Source organism: Homo sapiens, chromosome 2 (assembly GCF_000001405.40).
Source record: "Homo sapiens chromosome 2, GRCh38.p14 Primary Assembly".
NCBI classification, from domain to species: domain Eukaryota; kingdom Metazoa; phylum Chordata; class Mammalia; order Primates; family Hominidae; genus Homo; species Homo sapiens.
Genome location: NC_000002.12, coordinates 88,941,336 through 88,954,380, shown reverse-complemented (window position 1 = coordinate 88,954,380; position 13,045 = coordinate 88,941,336). Strand labels below are relative to the sequence as shown.

Here is a 13,045-nt window from a genome sequence, read left to right as displayed (position 1 = left end):
CAATGACTTTATTTTAGATTTGGGAGCTGGGACACGTGTTTCATTGCCCTGACTCCTTCCACATCTCCTCTTTCTCTTACAATATCTCTGACTCTGTCTGTCCTTCTCAGATTGTGTCCTGAAAATCTAATTTTCCCTCGCAATATGAAAACAAACTAACAAAACCCTCTTCCTCCTATCACATGTTGTGAGATCTGACCCCAAACTCTGTGATACCCAGATCGTATAACAGATAATCATGAGATTTTACCCAGGAGATTTTCTAGCTAAAAACGAATTCTCGTGGTAGCTCTTCTCTCGGAAAAATTTTCTCTGTCTCTTGTCATAACTGACACCAGAAAACAAGGTGGAAATATTTCCAAGAACAGAAGACAAGCACGCGCTCAGTGAGCTGAAAGACATTTCTTCCCCTTGCATTAGTTTCCAATGCTGCTGTTTAAATCGCCACAGTCTTATTGGCTTCACACAACATAAATGTATTACCCTGTAGTTCTGGAGGTCAGCATTCTCACTGAGCTAATGTTAAGGTGTCAGTAGGGCTGCATTCCTTCTGGAGGCTCCAGAGGAAAGAACTGAATCCTCTGCTTTTATCTTCCAGGTGCTCCCACATTTCTGGCTCTATGGCCCCTTCCCTCCTCAAACCACATCCTTCCATATTGTCCCAGCTCCTCTCTGCAAGCCTCCTCCTCTATTTTAATGACCTTTGTGATTATATTGGTTTCATCTGGATAACCAGGTTGCTTATTCTCAAAGTCGTTAACTTACACCTGTCAAGTTCTTCTTTTGCTATGTAAGGTAGAATCCTTATGATAGGGCTCTGATGACTGGAGGACCACCACCGTTCTTAGTCTCACGCGGGTTTGTTTAAAAAGAAACGGACATGCGTGGGGTTGTTTTAAGGAGCGAAAAGTTTAATACGCAAGAAGGAAGGAAGAAGAAAACAGCTCCACCGTACAGAGACAGAGAGAGGGGAGATTAGAACTAAGAGAAAACTCCATGTGCGGTGGAAAAGTGGCTGCTTATATGAGGAGGCTGAAGGAGGTGGTGTCTGATTTGCATAGGGCTTAGGGGATTGGTTTTACCAAGCATGTCATTCATGTAGCTTGAGAAAAAACTGGCCCTCCCACCCTAGTGTTTTAATATGCAAATGCAGGGTGCCATAAAGTTCTACACACATGGGGATATGTGGGGGCAGCCATGTTGTCAGGCAAATGTCGGGGCAAGGAAGAAGACCGTGGGAGCTGGACGCCGTGGCTCACACCTGTAATCTCAGCACTTTGGGAGGCCAAGGAAGGTGGATCATGAGGTCAAGAGATGGAGACCATCCTGGCCAATATGGTGAAACCCCGTCTCTACTAAAAACACAAAAAGTAGCTGGGCGTGGTGGCATGTGCCTGTAATCCCAGCTACTCAGGAGACTGAGGCAGAAGAATCGCTTGAACCCAGGAGGCAGAGGTTGCAGTCAGCCGAGATCGTTCCACTGCACTCCAGCCTGGGCGACAGAGCGAGACTCCATCTCAAAAAAAAAAAAAAAAAAGAAGAAGAATGTGGGAATCTCCATGTTTGGCTGGACCCAGTTTCTAATGGCCAGTATTTGTATATCAAAGCTTGCCGCCTGTAATCCCAGCACTTTGGGAGGCCGAGGCGGGCAGATCAGGAGGTGAGGAGATCGAGACCATCCTGGCTAACACAGTGAAACCCCGTCTCTACTGAAAAATACAAAAAATTAGCCGGCCGTGGTGGCGGGCGCCTGTAGTCCCAGCTACTTGGGAGGCTGAGGCATGAGGAAACCAGAGGGCGGAGCTTGCAGTGAGCCGAGATCGTGCCACTGCACTCCAGCCTGGGCTACAGAGCGAGACTCCCTCTCTAAAAAAGAAAAAAAAGCTTGCCGGACCAGCTCTAAGAGCCAGGGCTTTCCTGCTAAACAAGAAACATTTCTGGAGCTGCTTTAAAAGAAACAAAACCTTCCCAAGGACCCTGTTTCCTCTCTATATGCCTAAAATAGTTTCTTAATAACTCGTATAACATGGGTTCCAGAGACGAGGATATGGACATCTTTTGGGGTGGGGACATTATTCATTCCACTGACCATAAACATATTCCCCAAAATTGTCCTTCTCTAGAGTAAAATTTAAAAAAATCACAAATTATTTTTATGAAGCAAGAGAGCTGGACAAAATCTTAGACTCAGGTTCCTCTAACTTGTGAGTTTTGACTGTTGGAGTGTGCTCACTCCACTGCCTCTAATGTAGATTTATGGATGTGTAGATAGTTTTAGAGGATTTTTAAATTTTGTGACCCAGTGTAAGCAAAACAGTATCTGAGACAGGTCTCAATCAAGTTATAGATTTATTTTGCCAAAGATAAGGATTATGGCCTGTGACACAGCCTTAGGGGGTCCTGTAAACATGTGCCCAAGGTGGTTGGATTACACGTTGGTTTTATACATTTTAGGGAGACACAGAAATTACAGGCAAAGACATAAATCAATACATATAAGATATACATTAGTTTGTACTGGAAAGGTGGGATATCTTGAAGCAGGGGCTTCCAGGTCACAGGTGGCTTCAAAGTTTTCCTGATTGGCAACTGGTTGAAAGAGTTAAGCTCTGCCTAAAGAGTTGAATTCACCATAAAGAAATGCTTGAGTTTAGATAACGGGGTGTGCTTGAGTTTAGATAAGCCAAGGTTCTTTTCGTGTAGATGAATCCTATGGGTAGCAGAAAAAGTAGACGTTGCTTGTCAGACCTTAAAAAAAAAAAGTCAGACCTTTGGAAAATGATTAGTAAGCATAGGAGATTCTCTACAGAATGCAAATTTCTCCCACAACGCGCAGCTTTGCAGGGCCACTTCAGAATATTTCAGAGAAATAGGTTGGGTGCGGTGGCTCACTCCTGTAATCTCAGCACTTTGGGAGGCCGAGGTGGGTAGATCACGAGGTCAGGAGATCGAGACCATCCTGGCTAACAGGGTGAAACCCCATCTCTACTAAAAATACAAAAAAAATTAGTCGGGCATGGTGGTGGGCACCTGTAGTTCCAGCTGCTTGGAAGGCTGAGGCAGGAGAATGGCATGAACTCAGGAGGCGGAGCTTGCAGTGAGCCAAGATTGCGCCACTGCTCTCCAGCCTGGGCACAGAGCGCGACTCCATCTCAAAAAAAAACAAAAAAAAGAAAAAGAAAAAGAAATATTTTTAGAGTAAAATTTTTAGATTTTCTTCAGGGCCTATTATCTGTCATGTTGGAGTATGGTATCTTATTGCTACAAGCATCTGTTTCCTCAGTCCAAAGATCTCTGTTATAATGATAATGCTGGTCAGTTGTGCCTGAACTCCAAAGGGAAGAGAGCATAATGAGACACATCCAAACCCACCTGCCAGTCATGGCCTAACCTAGTTTTTCAGATTTCTTTGAAGTTCTCTCTGCCAAAAGGGGAGTCCATTTAGCTCGTTGGTGGCTTACAACTTAATTTTTGGTTCACAAAACACACAGGAAAAAAAATCAATAAATTCAATCTAAAATAGATTGGTTAAAAAAAAGTGTTTTCTGAATATTCCTAGATGTCAAAGAAAGAGAAGTGATAAGAATTCAGATGAGAAATATCCCTCATACAAAAGTACAATGATTTTTTTTTTCTGTCTTATTTTGGGTCCACCAGCAATGAGTATTCCTGTTTAGGCAGCAAATTTACACTGGGAGGAAAGGAAGAAAGTGAGGCAGGAGCAGAAGATGAATGGTAAAAGACACATCAACCACCCACCTGACTCAGGATAACTGAAGATCAACCACATGTGGAAACATGGACTAAATTCCTCTGGGCTATTCCACCTGAGAGATGAGAAAGCTGGGATATGTATATACCTCATCTTATCCTCACTGATTGTGAGCTGTCTCTCCTGTTCTCTTTCAAGCTGCTATAACAGGTTCCTTGTCGCTGTGTAATTCATAAAAAACAGAAATATATTTTCTCACACTTCTGGAGTACGGAAAGTTTGAGATCAAGGCATGGGCAGGTTAAGGTCAGCTTTCTCTGCTTTCAAGACGATGCCTGGGGCATTGAGTCCTTCAATGGAAGGAAGGCCATGTCTTATCAGGACAGACCAGCAGAAGAGAGAGAAAGATTCCAGCCCTATAAACCCTGTTTATACTGGCATTAATGTATTCCACTAGAGGGCTCCACCCTCATGACCTAAACACATCCCAATAGGGCCCACCTGGCAAAAACCATTTCACTGAGAATGAACTTTACAACAGATGGATTTTGGAGGACACAGTCAAACCATAGCACTTTCCTCAGAGATACACATTCCAGGACATCTGGCCAGCAATGCATGTAGGCAGACCTCTCTGCCCAAGATCATAAAGAACATAAGACATATATATGGCCATTGGAAGTGAGCAGAGGTACAGCAAAGGAGAAAGCCCTAGACTACAGATGGGGACTGCTACATTCATCATGGTACAGTTAACCCTTGAATAACTTGGGTTTGAAGTTTGCAGATACACTTATATTTTCTTCTGTGTCACCTGAAAGCAAGTACTTAATCAGTAGTAAATATATTTTCTCATTTTTATGGTTTTCTTAAGAACATTTTTTTCTTTACCATACTTTATTGGAAGAATAGAGTATAAAATATATATAAAATGTAAAAAAGTGTAATCAACTATTTATTTTATCACTAAGGCTTCCAGTCAAAAGTAAGCTATTAGTACTTAAGTTAGAAATGCAAAACTTCTACACAGGTTTTCATCTGCACCTGTGGTCAGTGCCCCAACCTCCATGTTGTTCAGGGGTCAACTGCTCACTCAATCTGCAGCTGCATCTCTCTGAAACAGGATCTTGGCAGGTGGCTGCAAGTAAAGGAATCCAGAAAATAACATCTCAAACTATGCTGCATTGGTATGATGATTATGTAAAGCCAAAGGCATTTAGAAAGCAGCAAATGCACAAGAAGTCTTTTCCTAAATATCCCTTATCTGCCTAAAAGCAAATTCTCCAGAAGAAAAACAATTGTCAAGGAAATTCTTCCTGGGAAATTTTATATCAGGGAAGATTAACACAAAACATGAATCAAAAATAGAAGAGACTGCAAGTTGATGCTTTATCCAGGCAGGCTATTGCCTGTTCTTTTGAGGATGCATTTCTTTTTTCATCTATTCTCTCCAGGTTGCCTACACTTCCCAATTCCCTCTTCCCTAGAAAGGAAATATGAACAACTGGATCTCATTGAGTTATCTGGGTAATCACCCCACTATGATATCCCACCGCACTCTAAGTGAATTTTGTTTGCCTTTTCTCTTATTCATTATTCTTTTGTCGGTTCATTTTCAGCAAACATTTAGAGGACAAATGGAACTTTCTTCCTTTCTTCCAATATAAGCAAGTTCCCTTAAAATTCAGGCTGCTTACAAAGCAGCAGAAATGTTTGTGCATGGGCTGCAGCACTGTGATTTTGCTCCCCTAGTCAGGCATCAGTAAAATTTTGTGGAGCCCGAGGCTGCAGCCCACTGATGCTGATGTGGTTACATCCACTTCCCCTGCTACTGAGTCAGGCTGGGACGTTCAGGGTACATTAGAGATATGAGATATAATGAATGCAAATCCATGTCCAGTTTCATCTGGATCCAACTGATTTCTCCATGTACATAGACAATTGCTTGATAAGAGATTGAGTATGTTTTTCCTAAAGGTGTTAACAGGGAGGCTGGTGTCTGGGTCAGGATGATGTCCCCATGCACTGATAAAAAGTATAAGAAGAAAGTGTCATTGATGGTGCATGGCAGGGACATGCTCCGTGCAGTGGCCACCCTCACTAAGACAGATGAACTTTGGGAAATAATACCCAATGGCAGAAAAGAAGGTAGACTATGAAGGTACCCAAAACAAGAATAAGGTGCACCTCATTTAGTCTCTGGGTATTAAAGAGACCTGCAGTTCTTGATAGTGGTGGATCTGTGAGTGCTGCATGCATGGAGACAACACGGTATCATCTTTGTATATCTGTAATAAATTGCTTGATCTAATACTAGTAAGAACAAAGGCATAACACCATTACCTAATACTTACAAATATATAGCATCATGCCGATACATTTTATTTTTAATTTTTTTTAGAAAGGAACAATGTTAAACTCACAGAAATGTTGCAGGTATAGCACAATTACCCCCTTCCCTACCCGGAATCTTATGAGAGTCTTTTGAAGACTTGAGAATCCTACCATCTAACATTTTACTATGTGTTTCCTACAAACAAGAATATTCTCCTAAATAATCCTGATACACCAATGAAATACATTACTCTATCGGCTCCTGAGGAATATTTAAAATTCTCAAAAAAATACCTAAAAATTGTTTCTCATAATAAAATAGTCCCCAGTAGAAACACATTCTCTGCAGACAAATTTGTGCTACCCTGGTCTTACCTGGGACACCTGGGGACACTGAGCTGGTGCTGAGTTACTGAGATGAGCCAGCTCTGCAGCTGTGCCCAGCCTGCCCCATCCCCTGCTCATTTGCATGTTCCCAGAGCACAACCTCCTGCCCTGAAGCCTTATTAATAGGCTGGTCACACTTTGTGCAGGAGTCAGACCCAGTCAGGACACAGCATGGACATGAGGGTCCCCGCTCAGCTCCTGGGGCTCCTGCTGCTCTGGCTCCCAGGTAAGGAAGGAGAACACTAGGAATTTACTCAGCCCAGTGTGCTCAGTACTGCCTGGTTATTCAGGGAAGTCTTCCTATAATATGATCAATAGTATGAATATTTGTGTTTCTATTTCCAATCTCAGGTGCCAAATGTGACATCCAGATGACCCAGTCTCCTTCCACCCTGTCTGCATCTGTAGGAGACAGAGTCACCATCACTTGCCGGGCCAGTCAGAGTATTAGTAGCTGGTTGGCCTGGTATCAGCAGAAACCAGGGAAAGCCCCTAAGCTCCTGATCTATAAGGCGTCTAGTTTAGAAAGTGGGGTCCCATCAAGGTTCAGCGGCAGTGGATCTGGGACAGAATTCACTCTCACCATCAGCAGCCTGCAGCCTGATGATTTTGCAACTTATTACTGCCAACAGTATAATAGTTATTCTCCCACAGTGTTACACACCCGAACATAAACCCCCAGGGAAGCAGATGTGTGAGGCAGGGCTGCCCCAGCTGCTCCTCCTGATGCCTCTATCAGCTGAGAGTGGTCCTCAGATGCAGCCACACTCTGATGGTGTTGGTAGAGGGGGACATGGAGTCACCTCTGCACCCTAATTCTTTTCTCTTTCTCAGCCCCAACTGCACAGATCTAGCAATGCCTCTCCTGATTTAATAAAGACAGAGATCATGACACCTGAAGAGTCTAGTTTATGGCTTCAGCTGGACTTTATATAACAGAGAAGAGGCCACTATAGATATTCAAAGCAGGAATTGTCTTAATACAGACAATTAGAGTCTAAACTACTGAAGTCTAAATAAAATGTAGAGATGAATCTCTAAATTTAATGTTTTACGTGCAAAGAAATATTTGCCAAATGGGGCATACAGGAAAACTCAGTGGTCTTCAATATGTTGGAAGAACAAAGAGAAGGTTAGAGTTTTACGAAAAAGGGAACATGTTACCTATGGCTCTTTGAGAAAGTTCATGGGCACTAGGAAGGGTTGGGAGCTGGCAAGCTCAGACTGGGAAGCAGTGGTGGACAAAGTGAATCCTACAGTTATATCAAGTTATCTCAGAAGTTGTGGATAAATTTGATTTCAGGTTACAATAAGCCAAAGGCAGTGAAGCTTGCAGAGAATTTTGTTACTGAAATGCCAGGGATTCAGTGTAGATCCTGCTGCTCACCACACAGAAAAACAATCACTAAGACAAGTATTGCCAAGGAACAGGCTTTAATCAGGTGCTGCAGCCGAGGAGATGGGACACCATTCTCAAATGTATCTCCCTGAACTACTAAAATGAGGGGTATATATATCAGGGAAGAAATGTGGGAAAACAGGAATTAGGGAGGGGTAAGGAAGATGATTTGGTCAACAGGAAGCAGGAGGTCAGTTAGGCAATCACAATGGGTGAAGAGTCTGATGTCTCACTGTCCCGATTCAGTGATATGTAAGTTTCAGCTCCTTTTGATAGTATCTGGAGGCCTGATGGTTGGTTTCCTGACAAAAGAACTCCTCAGATAAGAAAAATATAACTATCTTGAGTTTTTAAGACTGGAGGAGTCAATTTCTATGTTCCTTCAAAAAACCATAAACATTAGTTCCATGGGATAATAGGGCCTATTTCAATTACATTCTTCAGACAATATTTTGCACCCTGAGTGTCTTTCCCTCCTGGTTTCTTGGCTCTGTTGGGTATGACAAGAATGACCCAATTCCTACGATTAACTTTCCCACTACAACCTTTCAAAGCCAAGGATATAGTAGTCAGGAAAGTTGATATTAGAAGCAGGAATCTCTGTTGCTCCCTCAGAAAACTGAATGCATCTTCCCCTGAAGTATGGGCTATCTAACCATGTGGTCCTCAGTCCTGTCTGGAAGCTTAGGGGTGGGGGTGCTGATGCTCTCAGCTTCCTACAGCATCTTTCCAGGTGTTTCTCCAGTCCTCATCTCTGTCCCTGTGTCTGTCCTAGGTACCAATGGAGAATATTGAGCCATCCTTTCCTGATTCCAAATCTCATGGGAGGACCTCTTATTGGGCCACTCTATAGAACACAAGAGAGGCAAAAAAGGATATTCATATAAGTTAAAATGATTTTCCCCCAATGAGGCCATTTTAAAAAATTATATTTAAAGCCACATGTTGAAAACACATCCAGCTTTATTTTCTTATTAATGCAAATTTACATTTGCAAATATTTTCAAGATTGTAAAGGATGAAAACATAATTATTTGTCCATGGAATGATCAAACACCTCTATAATTAAATGGAGTAAACATTTTCTTGAAAATTTGTACTCACTGAAATAAAGGAATATATTTTAAATATCTGAAGCTATGTTAGAAATTATTGGACTTAAATTCAACTGTCCAGTTTGGTTTGGGATGTTCACTCCTGTGACCTGCCACAAGAATCTTGTATCATGTGTAGTCACTGGTGTTCAGCTTAGTCCTCAGACAATTGATATCTATAGGCTGAAGATGAGGTCTGTGTCCTTCAGAGGATCCACTCAGCTGAGCCCTTCCTTGATCAGTCAGAGGATTGTGAACATGAGCATCCGTGAACATGAAAACAAATGTTTACTGTTATCAGTCACTGAGTTGTGTATTTAACCAGTTACCAATCAGTAATGCATAAAAGCTTCCTGATACAGTATTTACACCTCTACCTATATGTACACACATGTATTTTTTCTTAAATTGGTGATTTAAATGTGAATATCCAGTAATCAAATTATGAAGTTATTAAAAGAAAATTAAAGACAAAATTAAAACTAATTAGTATTTCAATAAAAAATTAAAATTTATCTTACGGAAAAGTATGCATACATGTATATAAGATACATAGAAGTGAATATATATGTTTTTGATAAAATGTTGGCTACAAATATATATAGTATTCATATTTAAGTACATTTATTCTATCATATATGCAATATATGCATATTTATAAAATTCTTATCTGAATTAAATACATTTAAAATTTTTTGTAACCTTCCATAAAATAATGGTATTCTGGACCACATGTAGTTCTTACTCTTGCTACAGAAAATTTTTTTGTTTATTTATTTATTTATATTTATATTTATATTATGTTTAAATTTATGTATATTTATATTATATTTATATTATATTTAAATTTGTTTATATTTACATTTATATTATATTTAAAATAAATTTATTTATATTTTTCCAACTCAATGGAGCTCCAAGGGTAGGACTAGAACAAATTTTGACTAATGTTGAATATTAAACATTGCATCCTATGAAAGTCTCCATTCTGTTCATGCCCACAATGGTGATATTCCAAATAGAGTTCTCACAATAATGGATGCTGGATGGCGTCACATTAGTGCCATTGTCAAGGAAGCCCTGCAAATGTAAAAATCATAACAATGAGTAAACTGCAAGGGTTATATCTGATGATCACATTGCAACGATAACAGTTTTGGGGTGATCAGACCCAACACCAGGTCGTGGGGGTGACAAAGTCTGGTGGAGTCAAAGATTGAGAAAAAGACAGTTTGAGAGAGAAATGTGGGCACCAGGGACCATCGTAGTGTATGGAGGCTAAGAAGGCCCTGAGCCCTGGGATCCCATGCTATTTATTGGTAATCCAACAAAGAAACACGTGGTAAGAATGTGGAGGCCAAAAGGATGCATTGCATTAAGCACATGATTTACACCTGTGATGGTTTAGCATTTGCTCTACTACTTGAGATAATGGAGAGCAGGTTCTTTTAACTCAAGATACAATCGATCCTTGGAGAGCAAAGAGAAAGGAGCCAGCAAGTGTAGACACACTCCAGAGCCACGAGTCCTGGATTCTATCCAAGTCACAAGGGATTTTATGCCCTGGGCTTAGATTATGGTGCGTCAGGGTAGCCTTCCACCCTTTAGCACAGAGCTTGGTGTACTAAAGGCCACAAGGGGTTTTAGACCCTGGACCCCGGACGTGTTCCAAGACTCTTTTACATTACGTCAGACATGCAAGCCCTGCCTCAGCTTCTCCCAACATTCAGCTTTTCCCAACATAACGGCAATGTAATAATATTGGCTGTTGGTTTTGACAGATCATCAGGCCTTCAAAGAAATGCAACAAAACGATTGCAGACAAAGTGATTGAAAAGCTATGACTAGACTTTTCAAAGATGAGCCAAAATAAAAAAAAAATGCTTTCCCAGTGAATATTAATCAAAATGCTATTAATGAGCAGGGGCTTTTAATAATGAGGATGATTCAACACATGGACTTCAGTCAGTCACCTTTCCCAGCTTTACCAGGGAGTCTCATGAACCAATGTTATGGAGGTCCCTTTGGGGACTCAATTATGAATTTCAACTAACTGAGACTTAAAGGGCTACTGGCTCTTCTGAACACCTCATTTGCCAAGAAGAATGACCCCTCCTGAACCCCTAACATTGTACAACACATCAGGGATCAGATGAACAGCTGGGGTCAGGTGATACTAGTGGACCTCATGTAACATGAGGAGAGCACTGGTTATTTTCCTATATATGAATTTGCCTTTCTTTTTGGTTGTATTTCTGCACAAATATTATTTGAGGATTTTCCAAATGCTTTCATCAGAGTCAGGAAATTATTCCATAATACGGTTTTGGATCAAGCAATGTATTTACCTCAGAAAAAGTGAAAAAAGTGTAGCTCATGCTCTTGTCATGTGCACAGGTGCAGATTTCCCTATAGACAGGGGAAAAAAACATTATTAGTCAGGCACAGCTGGCACACAAACCTTGTGCTGTTGAATTGCTATGCTGTCAGATGTGGTGGAGGCTCTGAAACACTAACCATGATTCGTGCTTTTACTCCCATAAATAGAATATTTATATCTTGAAAATGAGCTATAGACTCATCACTGTTATGCCAACTGAACAGCTTGAAATATTCTGTTTCTATTTATTCAGGGCTGTGGTTATCTGGTTGATGGTTCTTAATCCAAAGAGTTGACATGACAATTATTCCATGAAATTGGAAGAAATGATATGATAAGCATGTGACCATTTAGACTTAATACAATACTGGATAAGTTGTCAACACAGGGCTTTAGGGTGTGTCCTGGGCACATAGATGTAGCCAATATAAAGCAAGAGCAAATGGAATTGATTTTACTTATTTTAGAGAAGAAGTACAGAAAATATGGACCCTAGGGGACCTTCTGGAATCTTTCTATTTATTGCCATTTCCACTGGTAAAACTCAGAGAAGATTTCAACAGTCATGAAGATGAAGTTCTAGGGATCACAGTCACGTGAAGCATTCCCTGCACTTGGATCTCCAGTGAGGCAAAGAGAAGATGAAATGCATAGTGGGATATGGAGGTATAAACACCAGAGACAGCCACCTGGTCAGCTTAAACGTTGAAAACTGTATTTATTTTTTCCCTTTAGTTTTATCACTGAATCAGCTGGATCTAAGAAAAGTGATTATGGCTGGTTAGGCAGAAAGGTGTTTATTATCATGAATGAAATGGAATGAAAACATTTGGGGAAACCAGAGTGGCAGCTCAGGCAAGTCCAAATACTCCTTTTGCTATTTCTTGATCCTCTCCCTGCCCCGTGTTTTCCACAGTCAAGAAGGACACTCTCATTTTGATAGAAACCTGGCGAGTGAAGATATTGTGCCCATAGGACTGGGCTGCCTGGCTGTGACCCAGACCAGGAAATTGAGCACATTTGAGTGAGATCAAGCACGTCCCCTCCCCCATCTCAATCCAAAAGCATTCTGTAGTAACACAGCTGATGTGCATTCTTCACCACATCTGGGACTTAGGAAGCCAAGGACATGAGGAGTAGCATTTCCAGACTCTACCATAGAGAAAGTATTGCCAGAAACTACAGAATAAAATAAATGTGAAAGAAGCTGGTGACAATAACTAAATGTGTCATGCATATATGTATTTTAAATAATTTAATATTTTCTATATACCCTTTCTTTAAAAAAATTCAAAGTGCTATTTTTAGCCACCTTTACAATTTAGGCCAAAAATTAAACAATAAGTAGACAGATTAATGGCTCATGAGAGAAGAACATTTTTTCCTAGATGGTGTTGGGATGAACAGATTGGAGTTTCCCCACATTTTGGGGAGCACAATGCTACATGGGGAGCATGATGTTCTTTGTAAAGGAAATCTTTATGTTGGGTTGTAGCATTTTGCTGTTGATACTAGTAATTCCTGGAAATTCAAGTGTAGAAACGTGTATTTATGATAGAAAGCCACAGTGTGGACTTGGGCAGAAATAACCCCTGTACCCTTGAAAACAGATGAATCTACATGAGTCTGACATGAAGATATAATCAACACAGGCAGGGCTGCAGGGAAAGGGGTCAGGTCTCTAGTAGTTGATAGCAGAGCTGCTGTCCTTCAGGGGGCAGTAGTGAGAAGAGCTGCTC

At 40.8% G+C, this 13,045-nt stretch overlaps 1 gene segment (V, D, J or C) and 1 further gene, besides 2 other annotated features; one reads left to right on the top strand and one right to left on the bottom strand.

The window, feature by feature from the left end:
• Positions 1-13,045, bottom strand: part of IGK (immunoglobulin kappa locus) — a 1,378,008-nt gene that overhangs the window by 1,280,988 nt on the left and 83,975 nt on the right.
• Positions 6,605-6,659: a sequence feature (IGKV1-5 leader sequence).
• Positions 6,605-7,080, top strand: IGKV1-5 (immunoglobulin kappa variable 1-5). The segment is given in 2 exon segments: positions 6,605-6,659; positions 6,785-7,080. Coding segments are annotated over 2 exon segments (351 nt in total), but the record flags the coding sequence as incomplete, so codon positions are not given.
• Positions 6,785-6,795: a sequence feature (IGKV1-5 leader sequence).